Source organism: Homo sapiens, chromosome 2, assembly GCF_000001405.40.
Source record: "Homo sapiens chromosome 2, GRCh38.p14 Primary Assembly".
Taxonomy (NCBI): Eukaryota; Metazoa; Chordata; class Mammalia; order Primates; family Hominidae; genus Homo; species Homo sapiens.
In genome coordinates this window covers 187319607-187340330 of record NC_000002.12, presented here as the reverse complement: position 1 = coordinate 187340330, position 20724 = coordinate 187319607, and the positions used below count along the sequence as shown (strand labels likewise).

Below are 20724 nucleotides of genomic sequence, written 5' to 3'. Positions count from 1 at the left end.
TCTTTTTCCTCAAAGTCCCTAAAATTTGTTGTAATCTCTAGCATTCCTGAAATTGACCTTCCTTATCACCTATAAGGCTGGGACGTGTAGCCAGTTACCAGGCGATTTAGATACCAGGCCAGTTTTCCTGGGAAAGCATTATGGGCATTGGCTCCATAAAATAGTCAAACTTTGTTCCCCAATATGAGCATAATTTGATGACCATTATTCTGATATATGACACTCCACATAAGTCCTTTAGTGTATAATCCATTTGTCCTATTATATACTGGTAGAAAGGAAGGTACATTCTTACTGGATTTATGCAATTAACTATATTATCATGAAAAGTAAGGATATTTAATATGTTTTTTCCCCTAAAATTCTGAGGGTAAGTTAGAATCTACTATTATTTCTAAATGTATTGTTTCACTTTAAAAGCAATATTTATACAATTATTGTGGATTAGAGATCTTAAGATGAGACAGAAGAGTTTGAGCTATATATCCAGTAAGTAGAATATGAAAACAAAATCAACATTTCACACAAGTAACACAATAAAATTGCCCTCATCAATTGTTTCAGTCTTATGAAATTAATTATTGTTCAACTGGATCTCAGATTAGCAATCTCATGAAGCCATCTCCTGTGCAACCAAAAAAGCCAGATACCAGAGAAAAAATGCTCTCAAAATCCTGGTTCACTCCACTTATATGGAAAGTGCAAGCGCGTACTCATGCATCTGTTTTTTCACATGCCAACAGTCTGAAGTGCCTTGTAATTTTTTTTCCCAAGGGCTTGTGTGTTTATCCTTCAGTATTAAAGACAAAACTCTTGTCTATAGCTTACAGCAGAGCATCAGGGAAAGCATCAGTGTAAAACAAAATGATCAGATATAATATGTGTATGACAGAAATCACAATGTCTGTGGTTAATAGTGAAAATTTTCAAAAGTAAAAGTTCTAATGCAGGTTCTTAATAAGAATAATAATGCAACTGAGAAGAAAATGTAGTTGTTCCTGTAGGAAGAAAAACAACAAATCCATTTTTTAAAAATAGACAAAATGAAATACACATTGAGCTATAACATAATAATCTTGAGATGTATTTTTATACAAAGAACATTAAGCAAAGTGATGCAGTAAGTTTGGCATAAGACCTAAGTATTATCTTTAGTTTTCTAAACCTTCATGACTAAGTCTGTCTCAGTTGAGAACCACTGATGTAGAATAGGGTCTATGCCCTCTTAGGAACCCTGGCTGCACAGTAGTGATGGCAGTGGCAGCCCGTCTGGAGTAGCCTCTGCTAAGATGCTGGCTGCAGCCGGGGCTGCGGTATCCTTGAAGCCGATGGCAGCCAGGAACAGGCAGGAGACCTGCCCCCTACTGAGTAGGCAGGGCAGGATTCCTGTGCCCCTGGGCGCAGCTGCAGCTGCCCAGCCATGGCTCCAGACCTGGCATCCCTACACTCTCAGGGGCTTGGGAAGTCCCCTTCCCCCACAGGCTTGGAAGTGCCTGCTCCCACTCCCTGGCCTGTCCCTACTCCCAGTGCCAACTCCAAGGCAGAGCAGAGTTGTGGCCAAGCCTGGGTGCTGTCACAATCTGGCAGGGTGTACATGCACTCAGGGCAGCGCTGACACACCAGCCCCCTGCCACCTCTGCCCCTTCTGGACTTTGGGTGCCAACAAGCATGGGAGGGAGGCAGAGGTGGGGCTGAGCTCAAACCCGATTGTGAACTGCACATGTGAGAGATCTAGTTTGTCAGTTCCTCATGAGAATCTAACTAATATCTGATGATGTAAGGTGAAATAGTTTCATCCCTTCATCCAGAAACCATCCCTTGCCTCGTCCCTGAAAAAACTGTCTTCCACAAAACTGGTCCCTGGTGCCAAAAACGTTTGGGACCACTGGTGTAATAGATACTAGATTCAAATTAAAGAAGTAAGACTGTAGTCAAACAATGTTTTAAATAATAACTGAAATTATGACTGATAACATTTTATTGTTGTCTAATCTCATCAGGCAAAGCACTGCCAGAACAGTGATAACTATAGGAAAACTTGGCAAATTTTTTTTACCAGTGTTTCCTCAAAGATTAAAATATATTATGGAAATGGAGTGCAATGATAAACTTCTAAGGACTTTCCATAAAGCAAACAATTAGGCTGGAGTGCAGTGGCGCAATCTTGGCTCACAGCAACCTCCACTGCCCGGGTTCAAGTGATTCTCCTTGTAGCTGGGATTACAGGCGTGCACCGCCACACCTGGCTAATTTTTGTATTTTCAGTAGAGACAGGGTTTCACCATGTTGGCCAGGCTAGTCTCCAACCCCTAACCTCAGGTGATCTGCCTGCCTCGGCCTCCCAAATTGCTGGGATTACAGGCGTGAACCACCATGCCCGGCCTCTTGCATATTTTTTATCAGGTGAAAGAATACATTTTTTGCAATTTCCAGGGCACTCTGGCAAATGTCAATAGTAGTTTTAAGTGTAAAATATGTCTTGAAATTTTATTTTGCTTTTTGTATATATATAAAATCAGATTTTTAGAAAGGCAAAAATTTTTAAAAGATATCAAAGGAAATTTGGACATTTAAGATATGATTATGGGAGCCTGAGAAACAATATTTGTTTACCTATTTAATCAAAGAAACAGTACATATTTTAAAATGAAGTACCTGGTAACACATTTTTAAAAACATTTTAGTCTCTTCATAATTGGGGAAATTTTGTGGTCATTTTTATGGTTTTGTTATTGTTTTTGTTTGATCAAAGACATAAGCAATGTCAACCTAAAGTATAAAAAATTAATTTGATAAGACTTGAAATCTATTCTGTCTAGGCAGATTACACGGAAATTAAATAATATATTGTTTCAATATATTGAATATATTCAGTAAACCAAGGAACCAACCCTGAGGGCAAACAAGATTGCACAAACTCTGCTAACATTTTAACATATTCCGTGGCTTCTTTGCAGACAGGTCTTATAAACTAATGGAAATAAAATTTATTTTGCAAGTTTTGTTCTCCATTATGTTCTTTATTATTCTGTACAAACTAGTAATTTAGAAGAGATCTCAGAGAACCCAGGAGGTAATAACCAATTTTATATTATCACTAAGATATTATTTTTGTTAATATGCAATGTGTTTCTCATGGCTATTTTCAAATTGATCAAAATATAAATATATTTCTAAATTTCTCTTTTATTTACTAATACAATAAGTACCAATAAACAGAATCCAGAAAGAGAAGCTCTTTGAGGTCCTCACTAAGTCCGCAAAGTATAAAGGAACCCAGAAACAAAATAAGCAAACACAAAGCAAAAGTCTGTCACTATTGCCCCTAACTGTAGTCTCAAGCATTTTTCTTAATTGTAACTTTTAATCAAAGTAACCAACTTCTATTTCAGAGAGAACTGGGGTATAAAAATTGAGAACTGTTTGTTATATGCAAGCAATTTAGCAGATAAGAAAAGCTCATGAATACAAATAAAATGATTTTCTACAGCTACATACGTCCCTTTTACACCATTACAAAGTGGCAAAAATGAATGCCACCCAAAGAAAAAATGATTCTATATACATAAAAATGGCAAGCAAAAACTTAAAATTATGCTTAGAAAGGAATTGTTCAATATTTTCTTACACAGAAATTAACCATATATCCAGTGATTTTCCATTAACTCAATGGATATCAGTCCAAGATTTAATATCAGTCCAAGATTTTAAATCACTTAAAGATCTTGGAAATTTTCTTCAAGTTGATGTACCACAAAATATAATTACTGCTGAAATTAAAAATGAGTCATGACCATAATTCAATTCAGTAGAACACAGATATATATTTATGATCTTAAACATTATGTAGAAGTAATGTTAGCTTACTGGATCAGTAAGCCTAAATAAGTTTATGACAAACAAACCCATGTTGATATAATGTATGCTCTGTGATCATTAATACTAATAAATGAGAGAAAAAGACAGTTGTGTTTACTGAACCAAAATTAATATGCTAATATCATATGCCAGTGATTTACCTTAATAAGAAACTTGCATTCTTTAAATGTTTCTTAGTTTCTCAGATTCTTAGCATGTTTCTTAATGAATATAGATATTAAGTATAGCACATTTAAAGTAATTAGAAGTTCAATTTCATTATTTTCTGAAATATTAATTTCAGGTAAGTATTTATTTATCTTTGTAAGCCAATAAAAATGAAGCTATTTAAGAGATTATGTGTCATTAATAATCCCCAAAGACAGGCAAATATTAAACACTCACACAAGGAGAGGTAAAGGCCATGCCAAATTATATGTAGACATACAAAGAGTGTATAGATTCAGTCTACAATTTTAGCCACAGCTCAAAAACACAAGCAACTCAGAAAAACAAAAGTTTATTAGTCTATCAGAGTCCATCAGAGCCATTCTCGTTCCAGATGGGCATAAAAATGTTAAATAATTTGGGGTTAACATAGACAAATAGACAAAAAGAAAAAATGACTAGCAAATCAGAATCTCTTTGTCTCTCATCCAATAAAGAATAGAGCTCTATAATTTATTAATCCATTTACAATGATCAACAAATATCAGAGAATGAAACTAAATTCCCAATCACTGCTGCCGCCAATGCAAAATAATTTCCTAATGAAAACAAACCAAAACCCCAAGCAAACACGAAATTATTAAAGGGGATAGGTGAAAAATTTTTTAAAAAGAGAAACAAAATGAAAAAAATGTCTTTGCTTCTTAGGATTCACTTCTCGGAGCCAATAAGAAAGAGACGCCTAAGATTATATCATTCATGAGGTACATTACTCTGTCAAAGCATATAACACTGCTCTATCAGGGGAATCCACTGTTCACTTTCTTGAAAAACATGTAAGACTTAAAAAATCCAAATAAACTACAATGCATGCCAATTCCTTTTTATTTAAAAAGAAGGGGAAGGAGCCCAGAAACTTGAAAATGTATGATGACTTATTTTCTTTATCTATTACAGATTCCATTGTGTATTTTTATATCAAATGGCAGAAAGAAAAAAAGAGAAAGAAGTGTTTAAAGAGAATCTTTATTTTATTTTATTTATCTATAATTAGGGGTACCAGTGCAGTTGTGTTACATGGATGTATTGTAAAGTCTGGGCTTTTAGTGTCACCATCACTCAAATAAGTATACATTATAATCAATAGGTAGTATTTCTTCGCTTACCTTCCTCCCACCTTCCCACCTTTTAGAGTCTCCAGTGTCTATTATTCGTCTCTGCATGTTCATATGTACCCACCAATTAGCTCCCACTTATAAGTGAGAACATGTGTTTTTGTTTTTTGTTTTTTTTTTACTTTCTGTTTCTAAGTCATTTTACTTAGGATAATGGTCTCAACGTCCAACCATGTTGCCACAAAAGACATAATTTTATTCTTTCTTATGACTGAGTAGTATTCCATAGTGTGTGCATGTATATATGTATCTATACCTACACACATATCACATCTTTAATCCAATAACCAGATGATAGACACTTAGGTTGATTCCATGACTTTGCTATTGTTAAAAGTGCTGCAATAAGCATACGAGTACAGGTGTCTTCTTGATATAATAGTTTCTTTTCCTTTGGGTAGATACCCAGTACTGTGATTGCTGGATTGAATGGTAGATCTATTTTTAGTTGATTGAGAAATTTTCATGCTGTTTTTCATAAAGGTTGTACCAATTTACTGCCATCAACAGTGTATAAGCATTCCTTTTTCTCCACATCCTCACCAACATCTGTTGCATTTTGACTTTTTAATAATGGCCATTCTGATGGTATCTCACGGTGGCTATCATTTGCATTTCTTTGATGATTAGCGCTGTTGAGCAATTTTTTCATGTGGTTGTTGACTGCCTGTATGACTTCTTTTGAAAAATGTCTGTTCATGTCTTTTGTCCACTTTTTAATAGGGTTATTTGGTTTTTCTTGTTGAATTGTTTGAGTTTCTTGGAGATTCTGAATATTTACCTTCTGTTGGATGTATTGTTTGCAAATATTTTCTCCCATTCTGTAGGTCATCTGCTTACTTTGTTGATGATTTATTTTGCTGTGTAAAAGCTTTTTAGTTTAATTATCTCATTTGTCTATTTTTGGTTTTGTTGTATTTCCTTTTGAGGACTTAGTCACAAATTATTTGCCTAGGCAGAAGAATCTTTCCTAGATTTTCTTTATTTATAGTTTTGCATCTTACATTTAAGTCTTTAATCCATCTTAAAAAGAAGGTATAATTATGATTCTCATACAAATATAAAATGAACGCATTTCAAAGATTTTGTTTAACTCATTAGCTAATGAGGGAGCCTGTAAGATGTTATAACATTCCAAGGAGAATTCAAAATACCCCACAAATACAAGCAGATAAGAAATGCTGAAGTGGATTGACAAATAGATAAAAAAAAAAAGTCTATCTGTGGGCAATAATCAATTGCATTCTACTGAAAACAAGGAATTTGCATTTGTATTATTATTCATTTTTCACAACTTAGTTGTAAAATGTCTCACAGAAAATAAACAAATAAAAATGAGTAACCCAGAAGGTTGCACTAGAAATGATCCCCTAATCTTTCTAAATTTTACACCATTTTAAAGTCTTACATCTTAACTCACAGAAGTACATGTGGAGAGAACAGGAACAATGTAAGAATATAAAAGCTCGATGCAGATAGTAAGGGTAAGTGTTTGTTAAACAATACTTTAAAAACTCTACATGTGGATATTATTTTTAGCTCCCAATATCTGCAATATGATAATGTTTATTTGCAACACGCATCACTGTGACACTCTATTCTTCTTTGGAGTTTTATTTCTTCTATTCTCCCTAATTTACCCATTGATTTTCATATAGTTGTTGATGATATGTAAGAAATGCTTATGTCTTAGGCTTTTCATAAATCTAATGTTTCACTTTCAGAATATGAAAAATATTTATTTCAGATCTATTTTATGAGTTTGAAATGTCAGTTTGAGATATTCAGTGTATTATAGCCACAGTATATTGATATTTACTATATTATTGACATAGTATTAAGCTTGTTAAAATGTTACGCTCTTTTCATGGGTAATAATACTGTGGCTCAAAAACATAAGCTATTTTCTCAAGTTGACAAGCTCTAGGAATCTTTGAGAATAAATACCTTCAGAAGACCATGACTTTTCTTTTATGCACACCAGACATTCACATCTGCAATTATTAGAGTTTATTTTTAAAAAGGTAAGTCCTAAAATACCCATCAGTTTGTTACATGGAGAATTATTTAAAATAATAATATCATAAACTCAAGAAACAAATCTGAAAAGATATCAGCTTAAATATAAACTTGGTGCAAGTACAGCACAAAATATGTGAGCATTATTATTATCTACACAGTTGGGTTTGGACATTTATTTTTAAGGTAAACATCATTCTGACAGCAAAATAATTGTGATATTCAGAATACAGGAAATATTTAGTACATACTGTTATCAAGAATGTTAATTAAATACACTTGTCTATGAAATTAAGGTAGGCATTAAATATAACTATAAATATAACTATAATTAGACTATAAGCACTCAGAGGAGGCAGGGAAACCATTAAAATGACCTACTAATGCTGATATTTGATAAAAATAACATAAGAATAACATCATATAAGAGCAAAGTACTTGTATTTAGTTACAAAACCAAAAAACAAAAAAACACTCAAGCATTCAGAGGGGAAAGTGAAAATATGTAGTAGTATTACATAGGCACCAACCAGTCAATACAGATGCTACCTATTGTGTATTTGCTGTCAGCTTTGTTTTGTTAAAAAACAAAACAAAACAAAATCTAAGTATAATATATACTAACCAATGGTAATAAATTCCCAATGTCCAGCTAATAATGTTATCTTATAACAGAGAAGAGATTATTAAATAAATTTAAATCAATAAAGTGTATTGAGCATCTTCTACTTCAAAAGCACAATAGTAGGAACATTACAATATAAGAAAGCATTCCTTCATAGGGCTTCAGCAGTTTAAGTGGTATTCTACAATCTAATATGTTTCAGTTTACTTTCAAACTGACATTTCTAAACTAAATCCTTTGCATTATGCAACTTTCTCTTGAATCTATGAAAGACAGCATTCAAAGCTACAGTTCAAACTACACAAATAGTTTTTCAACATAGCTCACAGAAGTAGATGTAGTTATTTAAAGCAGTTGAGTTAGATCTGGTATCATTGTTTTCAAGCACAAAATGAAATTTTCTGTGTTCCAATTGGAGGCTATATCAAAGAACTTCAGAGTATGACCCAGATACAACACCTCCCTTGGATGAAAACTCCCATGCTATATTCCAAAAGTGTTATAAACAGTATGCAAACTAGTGTGCAACTAGCTTACAGCATGCAAGAGAAAAAGGATGAAATTATAACAAGTAAGATGACAGAAATCCACATCTATCTCATGTCGCCCTCACATGGACCATTTGCTTTACTTGCTTGTGTATGGTAGGAACACTATAGGTCTCACAGTGGAGCCATGTATCTGCTGACTTCAGAGAGTTTTACAAAGTCTGCATTCCTGGCTGCACATCCATGCTCTACAAAAGAAGGATACACCCAACAAACAAGCAACCTATTTCAACTCAAATGCAAAGGGAATTTATTTTATTTTTCTTTCATTTTTATTCTTATTTTGAAAAGTGTGGTGGGACAATAAATAAAGAACCTTACCTGAACCTTAGATCTACCTACAGATTCATTCAGTCATTCAGCAACTACTTATTGTAAAGGAATAGTATTGCCTTTGATCAGGTGATCAGGTGGGTTCCCTAATGGAGTGACAAAGAAACAAAGACATGAGTAAAAAGACTAAGAGGGCTGCAGTTATAAGGTACGATTATGAATATTGATCAATAAAAAGTAAGTAAAATATTGGCAAACAGAATTTAATGCATGTTACAAGATATTTTATGACCAAGTAAGATTTATTTCAAGAAACCAAGGATGAAACAAAATTTAAAAATTTATTAATTTAATGCATTATATTACTAACATTAAGGATAAAAAATACCAAATAACCATCACTGAAGATAGTAGAAAAGCATTTGACAAAATTCAACAAATACAGTTAATTTTAAAAAATAAAAACAAGTAAAGAATTTACTGAAACTTGGTTACATGATCAGAGATACTTAAATCAGCCCCAATGTCAGTATTATATCAAGACAGAAATATTGAAATCTTTGTTCCTGGAGTTAGGATCAAGATGTGAATGCTTAGATATCATAAATTAATATTTAATATTCAACTAGATGAAACAGTCAATGTAATTAGACAATGCAAACAAATAAAGCTAAACAAAATAGAATTATGAAATTTGAAAAGGAGGAGAAAGCACTAGAATTCAGAAATGTACCAACATATAAAATAAATGTACACAAATCAATTTTTTATATACACATATAACAGAAGATACAGTGGGAAAGAAAGAAGCAAACTTATAATGACACTAGAGAAGATAAAATATATAGGAACAAATTAAACAAGAATGAGTAACTATATAAAATACATCTTAAATACTACTAAAGGACACAGCAGAGGTTATCAATACATAGAAAGATACACCATGTTCTTGAATAAGAAGATTATAAAGATGTCCATTTTCCCCTGTATAAATTATAAAATAAATGTGATCCAAATAAAAAAAGAAAGAGTAGGTAATTATTCTGAAACTAGATGTGCTGATTTTAGTTTCCATGAGAAGAAATAAAAATAAATAGCAATGAAAGCTCTAAAAAAATAAAGAAGAGAGGAGGGGGAGATAAGCCCTGTCAACCACTATGTAACTCAATAATTACAACAGTGTGGCAATGGCATATGAATAGAACATAGAGAGCAGTGGAGAAGAGGTGTGTAGACCATGCTTTTGAAGTAATTTGCAGTGAAAGGAATCAAAAAATGATCATTGGAAGGTGGAGTAGGATGACATTATGCCCCAGGAAGCATTTTATTTTAAATTTCTCATGTTTTCTTCTTTAAAATTATGCCACTTCTGGAACACCAGGAGTAATAAATGGGCTTATAGGCAAGGCTCAAAGCTGTTTTGCTTTGTTTTACTTTTATTTGAGGTTCAGGGGTACATACGCAGGTTACATGGGTACATTTTGTGTTTCTCAGGTTTGGCATATGAATGTTCCTGTCACCCAGATAGTGAGCATAGTATCCAACAGTTAGTTTTTCAACACTCATCCCTCTTCCCTCCACTTTCCTCTAGTAGTCCCCAGTGTCCATTGTTCTCATCTTTGTGTCCATGTGTACTCATTGTCTAACTCCCACTTATTAAGTGAGAAGATGCAATATTTGGTTTTCTGTTCCTGCATTAATTTGTTTAAGATAATGGCTTCTAGCTGCATTCATGCTGCTGCAAAGCACATGATTTTTTTTTATGGCTGTGTAGTTGTCCATTGTATTAGTTCATACTCACATTACTACTATAAAGAACTACCTGAGACTGAGTAATTAATGAAAAAAAAAAGAGGTTTAATTGACTCATAGTTCCACAGGCTTAACAGGAAGCATGACTGAATGGCCTCAGGAAATTTACAAACATGGCAGAAGGGCAAAGGGGAAGCAAGCACCTTTTTCACATAGTGGGAGGAGAGAGAGCAAGTGAAGGGGGAAGTGCCACACACTTTTAAACCATCATATCTGTGAGAATTAACTCACTATCATGAGAACAACATAGGGTAAATCTGCCCCCATGATCCAACCACCCACCTCCCACCAGGTTCCTCCTTCAAAATTGGGAATTACAATTCAACATGAGATTTGGGTGGGGACACAAAGCCAAACCATATCATTTCACCCCTGGCTCCTCCCAAATCTCATGTCATTTTCACATTTCAAAACCAATTATGCCTTCTTAACAGTACCCACAAATCTTAACTCATTCCAGAATTAACTCAAAAGTCCATGTCCAAAGTCTCATTTGAGATAAGGCAAGTTTCTTCTGCCTAAGCACATGTAGAATGAAAAACAAGTTAGTTACTTCCAAGACACTATGGGGTAGAAGCATTGAGTAAATGCTCCTGTCCCAAAAGGGGGAAATTGGCCATAACAAAGGAGTTACACGCCCCATATAAGCCTGAAATCCAGCAAGGCAGTCATTAAATCTTAAAGCTCCAAAATAATCTCTTTTTACTCCATGTCTCACATCCAGGAGGTACTAACACAAGGAATAAATTTCCAAGTCCTTGGGCAGTTCCACTCCTGTGGTTCTGTAGGGTACAGGCCCCATGGCTCCTTTCACAGGCTGGCATTGAGTGCCTGCAGCTTTTCCAGATGCATGGTGCAAGCTGTCAATGGATCTGCCATTCTCAGGTCTGGAGGGCAGTGGTCCTCTTCTCACAGCACCACTAGGCAGTGCCCCAGTGGGAACTCTGTGTGGGGGCTCCAACCTCACATTTCCCCTGCACACTGCCCTAGAGGGCTCCATCTCCACGGCAGACTTCTGCCCGAACATTCAGATATTTCCATGCATCCTCTGAAACCTAGGCAAAGGTTTCCAAATCTCAGCTCTTGCCTTCTGCACAGATTCAGGCCCAACACCACGTGGAAGCCATGAAGTCTTGGGGATTGCACCCTCTGAAGCCACAGCCTGGGCTGCACCTTGAGCTCTTTTATCCATGGCTGGGGATGGAGTGGCTGAAACACAGGGCATCATGTCTCAAAGCCGCACAGAGCAGCTGGGCCCTGGCCCTGGCTCATGAAACCATTTTTCCCTCCTAGACCTCTGGGCCTGTGATGGAAGAGGCTGTTGTGAAGGTCTCTGAAGTGACCTGGAGACATTTTCCTTATTGTCTTGGCTATTAACCTTTGGCTCTTCTTTATTTATGGAAATTTCTCTAGCAGGCTTGAATTTCTCCCCAGAAAATGTGTTTTTATTTTTCTACCACATTCTGCCAGGCAGCACATTTTCCAAACTTTTATGCTCTGTGTTTCTTTTAAATACAAAATCCAGTTTAAAGTCATCTTTTTGTTCACACATGTGAGCATACACTTTCAGAAACAGGCATGTTACTTCATAAATGCTTTGCTGCTTAGCAGTTTCTTTTGTCAGATACCCTAAATCATCTCTCTCAAGTTCAAAGTTTCACAGATCTATAGGGTGGGAGCAAAATGCCACCAGTTTCTTTGCTAAAGCATAGCAAGTTACATTTACTCCAGTTCCCAATAAGTTCCTCATCTCCATCTGAGACCACTTCAGCCTGTAATTCATCGTTCATATTACTGTCAGCATTTTGGTCAAAACCATTCAAAAAGTCTCTAGGAAGTTCCAAACTTTCTCACATCTTTCTGTCTTCTTCTGAGCCCTTCAAACTCTTCCAGTCTTCTACTCATTACCCAGTTCCAAAGTCACCTCCACATTTTCAGGTATATAAAATAGCAATGCCCCACTTTCCTGGTACCAATTTTCTGTATTAGTTCATTCTCACACTGCTATAAATAACTACCTGAGACTAGGTAACTTATGAAGAAAAAAGGTTCAGTTGACTCACAATTCTGCAAGCTTAACAGAAAGCATGACTGAGAGGCCTCAGGAAACTTACAATCATGGCGGAAGGGCAAAAGAGAAGTATACACCTTCTCCACATGGCAGCAGGAAAGAGAGAGAGAGCGAGGGGTGGGAGAAGTGCCATACACTCTTAAACCATACGATCGCATGAGAACTCACTCACTATCATGAGAACAGCATGCAGGAAATCTGCCCCCATGATCCAATTACCTTCTACCAGGTCCCTCCCCCAACACTGGGAATTACAATTCGACATGTGATTTCGGTGGGAACCCAGAGCCAAACCATATCATTCATGATGTATATGTACCACATTTTCTTTACCTAGTCCACCATTAATGGGCATCTAGGTTGATTCCATTTCTTTGCTATTGTGAGTACTGCTGTGATGAACAAATGCATGCATGTGTCTTTTTGGTAGAAAAATTAATTTTCCTTTGGGTATATATGCAATAAAGAGATTGCTGGGTTGAATGGTAGTTTTGGTTTAAGTTCTTTGAAAAATCTCCAAACTGCTTTCCACAGTAGCTGAAGTAATTTACACTCCCACCAACAGTGTATAAGTGTTCTCTTTTCTCTGTAATCTCACCAGCACCTATTATTTTAATTTTATTTATTTTTTGACTTTTTAACAATAGCCATTTGACCGGTGTGAGATACCTTGTGGTGGTATTGATTTGCATTTTTCTAATGATTAGTGATATTCAGCACTTTTTCCTATGTTTGTTGGCTGCATGTATGTCTTCTTTAGCTGTTAATTGTTATCTTGGCTCCAAAAGGCCAGAATGCTTTGAAATTGTCACTTGTTAAGTGTTGAACCCTATAGAAAGGGTCATCCACCTTGTTAATTTTTGCGTGGGAAAGAGATAACAGTTTTTTGTTTCTTTGAATTACAATTGTAAGCAAATAAAATTTTTACATGTAATTTCAGTGACATAGTAGATTAATGGAAACTAAACCTCATCTCTGGGCAATCTGAGAGTACTTAAACCACAACTAAAAACCTCAGCCTACATTTTCAGCAAAGTTGAATGGATTTTCTAGTGTCTCTAAATTCCATCTATATTCAAATGCCAAATGGAATAGATCTCTCTTCCCTCTTGCACTTCCAAATATTTAATCCTATAATTTTATTTTAAGGTGGTTCTTGAATATTTTGCTATTTCAATTTGTCCTTCACATTGTTATTTTAAGTTTCCTTTGACCTCTTTCTCTTCATCTTATTTCAAGATATATGTGATCTTCTATCCATTATTATCTTAAATGTTCTGAAAATATATTTATATATTCAGTCCATGGTCTCTTTTCCTTCATGCCTTAGTCTGTTCTCGCTACCATAGCAAAAATACTATAGACTGGGTGGCTTAACCAAGATAAATTTATTTCTCACACTTCTGGAGGCTGGAAAGTCCAAGATTGATATGTTTATAAGGTAGGTTTTATTCTGAGGCCCCTTCTTTTAGTTTGTGGTGGTCACCCTCTCACTATGTGCTTACTGCACGTGTGGAGAGAGAGGAAGCAAGCTCTCTGGTGTCTCCTCTTAAAGACACTAATCCTACTGCATCAGAGTTTCACCTTGTGAGTGCACTTGTAATGGTTAATTTTATATATCAACCTGTCTGGGCTAAGGGATGTTCAGTGTCTTAGTCTGTTTATGTTACTATAACAGAATATTAGAGACTGGGTAATTTATTTAAAATAGAAATTTACTCCTCATAGGAGGCTGGGAAGATCAATATCAAGGTGCCAGTGTCTCGCAAGGACTTTTTACCGTGCCATTCCACGGTGGAAAAAGAGAGTGCAGAAGAGAGGGCAAAACTCACTCTTAAATGTACTCTCTCAATAACAAATCACTCCTAGAATACCACAATTAATCCATTCATGAGAAGACCTAGTTACCTTTTAACAAACTCACTTCTCGACATTGTTGCATTGGGGATTAAGTTTCCAGCACATGAACCCTGGGGGAAACAGTCAAACCATACCACCCAGATAACTGGTAAAACATTATTTCTAGGTGTGTCCGTGAGGGTTTTTCTGGAAGAGATCAGCATTTAAATCAATAATCTGAGTAAAGAAGCTTGCTCTCAATAATGTGGCTGGACAACATCCAATACATTGAAGGCTTCAACAGAACACAAAGACGAAGGATGGGCAAAATTCACTCTCTCTTTTTAAACTGGATCATTCATCTTCTCCTACCCTGGAATATTAGTGCTGCTGGGTTTCAGGTCTTTGGACTCAGACCAGAATTTATACCACCAACTAACCCTCTTGTTCTTGGGCCTTTTAGTTTGGACTGGAACTACATGCCTAGTTTTCCTGGGCCTTCAGCTTCCAGATGACAGAACATGAAACTTCACAGTCTCAATAATGGTGTGAGTCAATCCCTCATAATAAATTTATTTCTTTACATATGTATGTGTGTATAGAGATTACATATATGTATGTCTATAAACACACACACACGCACACACACACACACAACATTCCATTGGTTCTATTTCTCTGGAGAATTCTGACCTAATACGAATTTTAATACCAAGAGTGATTCCAGAAGAACAGAATTTTAAGAATGAGTTTTCTGAATTGGGTCTGGAGTTTCTGGAATTGGCTCTCCAATCGGATTAGACTTAAAGATCATAATGACTCTATTTCTAGTAAGGAAGACACTACTGATAGTCTATGGCTTGAAATGTTTATAGAGATACATAAAATGACTGTATTGGATACTCCTAATCAATCACTTATAAGAAGCACAGAACTAAGTGACTTTATGATACTTTCAAGCATTTTTGGAAAACTTAAAAAATAATAATAACATTGGTTGGTTGCTCCTTATGTTTTCTGACAAAGTGGTAAAAGAAAAGAATGAGCTTAGAGAGTCAAGCTCCCAGATTCTATGCTGCATAAATGAACTAAGAGCTTTTAGGTGTACCCTGGGGAAAAGCCTTATTTCCTGTAGCCACATGGCTGACATTGCTGAAAAATCAAATGCAGAACCTCATCCTACAATTGGGCAAATTACAATAAAAGTTAAACTGCCAGCTTTGCAGAATGTCTACTGTTAAAGTGACAACATTTCTTGGGATAGAATGAGATCTTGTAAGAAGAGATGGAGACCTGTGAGAAGACCCTGATGAAGCTGGGGACATTGAGCCTCTAAATTCTGTTAAGTATTCTTTGCCAGTGGAAGAAGCCTCCCCACCCTTACTGAAAGTGGCCTTCTTACCCCAGCAAAAAGGCCTCCCCACCCACAGTAATATTGGTTTTTCTAGTTCCTAGCGGGGAATAAATCCTGCATTCCCTGAGGAAATTGTAATGGCATCCCCTGTGGCAGCTGACACGTAAGACAATGCTGCATCTCTTCAGGAACCACCCCTACCATCCTCTCTGCTTCTGGACCTATAACTAGACTCAAATCCCAGTATAAAATCTTAATTACTTCCTTTGAGACCTCATCTACTTCAGCTGCAAATAAGCCACAATGGGGTCAGAGCTTTGCTATGGTTTGAATGTTTGTGTCCCCCTCCAAAAATCATGTTGAAACTTAATGCCCAATATAATAGTATTAAGATATGGGGCCTTTAGGAAGTGATTAAATCATGAGGGTGCTGCCTATAGTCTTAGCTACAAAGGTTGAAAAGGGAGGATCCCTGGAGCCCAGGATGCCAAGGCTGCACTGAGCTGTGATTGCACCACTGCACTCCAGTCCGGGTGACAGGGCAAGATCCTGTGTAATAAAAAAGAAAAAGAAAAATAATGAGGATGGAACCCTCATGAATGGTATCAGTGACTTTAAAAAGGGCTGGAGGGAACTAGTAGTCACCTTTGCCTTATGCTTTCTTCCACGTGAGGACATAGTAACAAGGCAAAAAGGCATCTGAGAAGCAGAGACTGACCCTCACAAAACACGGAACCTGCCAGTGCCTTGAACTTAGATTTCTCAGCCTCTCAACTGTAAGAAACAAATTTATGTTCTTTATAAATTACCCAGTCTCACATATTTTGTTACAGTAGCACTAACAAACTAAGACAGGCTTCAACATATAAATTATGATAGCATATACTCATTCAATCCATAACACTCCATCATTTTATTAGAAATTTTCTGTGTATCCATTACCTCATAATGAAACAAAATAATGAACAATCAAACTAAACATTATTCCTCTAAATCGAATAGTATTTTCTTTTCCAAAATAAGTGTTCTGGAAAAGTTGTCATCTTGCTTAAGTCTATTCTGGATAATTGTTTATGATTGTTTTCGTTTTCTTCATAGACATCCAATACAAGGAAAACTGCAAAACACTGATGATAGAAATTGTAGATGGGCCGGGCGCGGTGGCTCAAGCCTGTAATCCTAGCACTTTGGGAGGCCGAGGCAGGAGGATCACGAGGTCAGGAGTTCGAGACCATCCTGGCCAACATGGTGAAACCCTGTCTCTACTAAAAATACAAAAAAATTAGCAGGGCGTGGTGGTGGGCACCTGTGGTCCCAGCTACTCGGGAGGCTGAGGCAGGAGAATGGCGTGAACCTGGGAGGCGGAGCTTGCAGTGAGCCGAGATGGTGCCACTGCACTCCAGCCTGGGGGACAGAGCCAGACTCTGTCTCAAAAAAAAAAAAGAAAGAAAGAAATTGTAGATAACAAACAAATGGAAAAACATCCTGGCCTCATGGATTGGAAGAATTATTAACATAATGATACTGCTCAAAGAGGTCTAAAGATTCAATGCAATCTTTATCAAAATACCAATGTCATTATTCGTAGATTTAGAAAAAAAAATCCTAAAATTCATATGGAACCAAAAGAGAGCCCAAATAGATAGCCAAAGCAATCTCCACAAATTTGAAAACTCTCTCCTTAAAGTTCACTTTGGTCACTTTAAAATTGTATTTCTTCATGTTCATGTAACAAATGCAGTCAGCCTCATTTTTGTCCTTCTGATTTTGTGTCCAGAAAGCTCACCCAAACTGCAGTTTATACTGCATGTGCACCATAAATTTAGGGTGACCATGCATCCCAGTTTCCCAAGAGTCTAGGTTTGTTGCCTTGTTCTGGCATCAATTCCAGGTTAGCATTCGCAGTTCTAGCCACAGATTCATGAAGAAAGGACCCCTGCCTTTGTCTGTGCACTTTAGAGATTCCCACCTTGGTCTTCCTCTAGCTGGCCCTCACTCCATGGATGAGCTATTCAAACTAAGGAAATCTGTCCACCTAAAGCTTTATAACACTTATAACCATATCCTTGGTACCTGGGACCCCAGAGCTTAAAACCCAAATGGCTTATGCTCATATTCAGAAACTGCATGCATGTTTTGCTTGGATTTCCCTTTCTGATGATAAATGATGCCTCTTCTATATCCACCCCTAGTTTCAAGGATTGGCCATAAGATGGCTGTTTACACAAAGAAGTGCACACAACTTAGATACACAGGCTGAAGTGTGGACTTACATAAACACAAGGGGCCTCACCAGTGCAAGAAGGAGCTGGGGTTGAACAGTAAGGGGCCACGAGTAAGGGATCAGAGGGCAGCTCACCCTATACCAGCACGTTCTTTCACAAAACTCCAAGGACTCAGGATTCTGGGAATTCTAAATTTGATATGAATTTTCTTGGGTTTTAGGAATAATTATTAGTAAAGACAGAAATAGAAAGCTATTTAATGATTACGTGGCTTCTTTTTTATACTTGAATGAAAAACGTCAAATATATGAGCTTCCATTTGTACTCTTTCCTCAGTCCCCAAAGATACTAAAGAGGAGCCTGAACATTTGTACCAAATAAAAGTATCCAGGTTTCGGCCGGGCACAGTGGCTCACGCCTGTAATCCCAGCACTTTGGGAGGCCGAGGTAGGCGGATAACGAGGTCAAGAGATCGAGACCATTCTGGCCAACATGGAGAAATCCCGTCTCTACTAAAAATACAAAAATTAGCTGGGCGTGGTGGTGTACACCTGTAGTCCCAGCCACTTGGAAGGCTGAGGCAGGAGTACCGCTTGAACTCGGGAGGCGGAGGTTGCAGTGAGCTGCGATTGCGCCACTGCACTCCAGCCTGGGTGACAGAGTGAGACTCTGTGTCAAATTAAAAAAACAAAAAAAAAAAAAAGAAAGAAAAAAGAAAAGAAAAAGAAAAAGAAAAAAAAAGTATCCAGTTTTGGATAATGAATTAGATGATCCCATATTCACTTAGGTTACTCCTTCCTGTCCCCAGTTGAAAACTGAGTATTAAATAGTTAAGCCTTTTTTACTTTTTTCTTTTTTTGCCATAGAGCTATTTCATGCTTTTCTTATGCATACTAACTCTCACATTTACCTGCTATTTTAACAAGACACAACTTAATAATTCTTAGTAATAACCATGAAAATAGCTAATTTTATATAGCCCAAATATTATACTGCATGGTCCTGTGAAGCTTGGTCCACTCCTGAAAGTAACTAACAGTCTTTATTTTTGACTTGCTGAGTGAAATTGCAAAACATTTCTGCCAGAAGTCATAATAAGCTTCTTTAATGGACACATTTTTGAGTCTGGCTTCACTGTTGTTCTACAGGTCATTTCAAATTCTTTATTTCCTGGCATAAAAACAAAAATAAATATCTGCTGTATTCCTAAGCATTGAATTAAACATCAGAGTGTGTGGGTCAGTTTTTCTTTCTCTGGAGACACTGGTTCTCATGAAGAGTTTCTTCACTCAAAGGGTCCTCCCACTCCCTTTCACATAGAAACTGGGAAGTTCTCCTTTCTGCTTTCGTCTGACCTTCCAAATGTAGATATTATGTATGAAATACAGAAACTGACAGTAAATATGGCTTTCCCTCTTCTTTATCCTATAAAAATGCAGTGTTCTGTTCCACATTAGACGGATTTTCCCTGTCTTCCATCTTTCTTAAATTATCCATCGGCAGCTGTCTGTAGACATTTCTACAGCCCTAGAAAAAGCTAGAGAAGAAAACTCAGCACTCCGCATAACAAAAATACTGTGATTCTTGCTACTACTGATATTTTGCAGATACTGACACCCCAACAAGATAATCATGGGTTCTTCCTGTACCATAGTGTCTTTGTTTCTACACCTCCTCACTGTTGAAATCTGGCTCCCTGATAGCTGTAACATTTACAGAGGTTCACTCTCCTTTCTTCTACCTCTGCCTGCCCAGTTAGTTGTGTTACTTTCTTTGCTGTTTTACACTGCTGGCTTCTTCTATATTATGAAAGCTTGGCACATAGTAGGTGGTAAATAAATATTTGTTTCTCTTCCCTGTATTTGAAAAAATAAGGCAAATATAATCCTCAGTTAATAAATAATGAAATAGATAATTTGAAAATTTATGTCGATGTCACACTGTTACCAAATTATCAAGTTAAGACTAGGAAAATCAGTGTTCATATCAGATTATCAGGCTGCACATCCCAGCAAGAGATAACATAGTAAAATCAGTATAATAAAGCCCTTCAAAGAACCTCCTACTGCCCCTTGATAACCAGGGTTTGGGGAAAGAATCTGGCAAATGAAACAAGCTTCAAGATGAAAACATGGTTTAAAAATAATGGCTTCTGAAAGAAGGAATTGGCAAAAAATCCTATTATACAAAGTCTAATCTACAAAATATAGATCTCATCCTTTTCTGAAAGTCTATTATCTCTTCTGTCCCGTGATGAAAGTAGTCCATGCTTTTATACTCTGCTTCCTGTTTGAATAGTCTGTCTGCAGTAACTGAAATGGAATCCTTTTTTAAAAATTCTTTTCATTCAGCTGATTTGCCAGTCAGCTATCTCAAATAGTGGTCAGGTCTCATTGGCTCCCTGCCTCTTTGCAGCTATGGCCAGTAAGTCCAGGAGACAGAACCAGAAATATGGAACTGAGTGGGAGTCATGACACTGAACTGTGCTCCATGACCTTGGTTTGTTTTTGTGATCTTTGAATATCCGTTTCCTCAAATGGAGTTGGCATAACAACATGAAGAGAGGACCTGAAAACTAACTGGTTCTAAATGGTTCTAAAGAATCAAAAGTTATCAATTAATACATAAAATGACAAGTAGACAATTGCAAAGCATGTGGAAAGAAATTTAAAAGTATAATGAATACAAATGTATGATGAGTCAGGAAAATGTGGAGCATTGTGAGTAATTTCCAGTAAACTATTAGATCAGCTCCGC

At 36.5% G+C, this 20724-nt stretch overlaps 1 long non-coding RNA gene across 3 annotated transcripts in view, besides 1 other annotated feature; it reads right to left on the bottom strand.

The window, feature by feature from the left end:
• CALCRL-AS1 (CALCRL and TFPI antisense RNA 1) overlaps positions 1 to 20724 on the bottom strand; it is a 544253-nt gene that overhangs the window by 207195 nt on the left and 316334 nt on the right. The window lies entirely within an intron of this gene.
• Positions 1515 to 1809: a silencer, noted in NCBI's record as "tiled region #15572; K562 Repressive non-DNase unmatched - State 24:Quies". NCBI's record gives its function as "represses a minimal TATA promoter and a strong SV40 promoter by Sharpr-MPRA in K562 cells {active_cell/tissue: K562}" and the evidence as "EXISTENCE:reporter gene assay evidence [ECO:0000049][PMID:27701403]".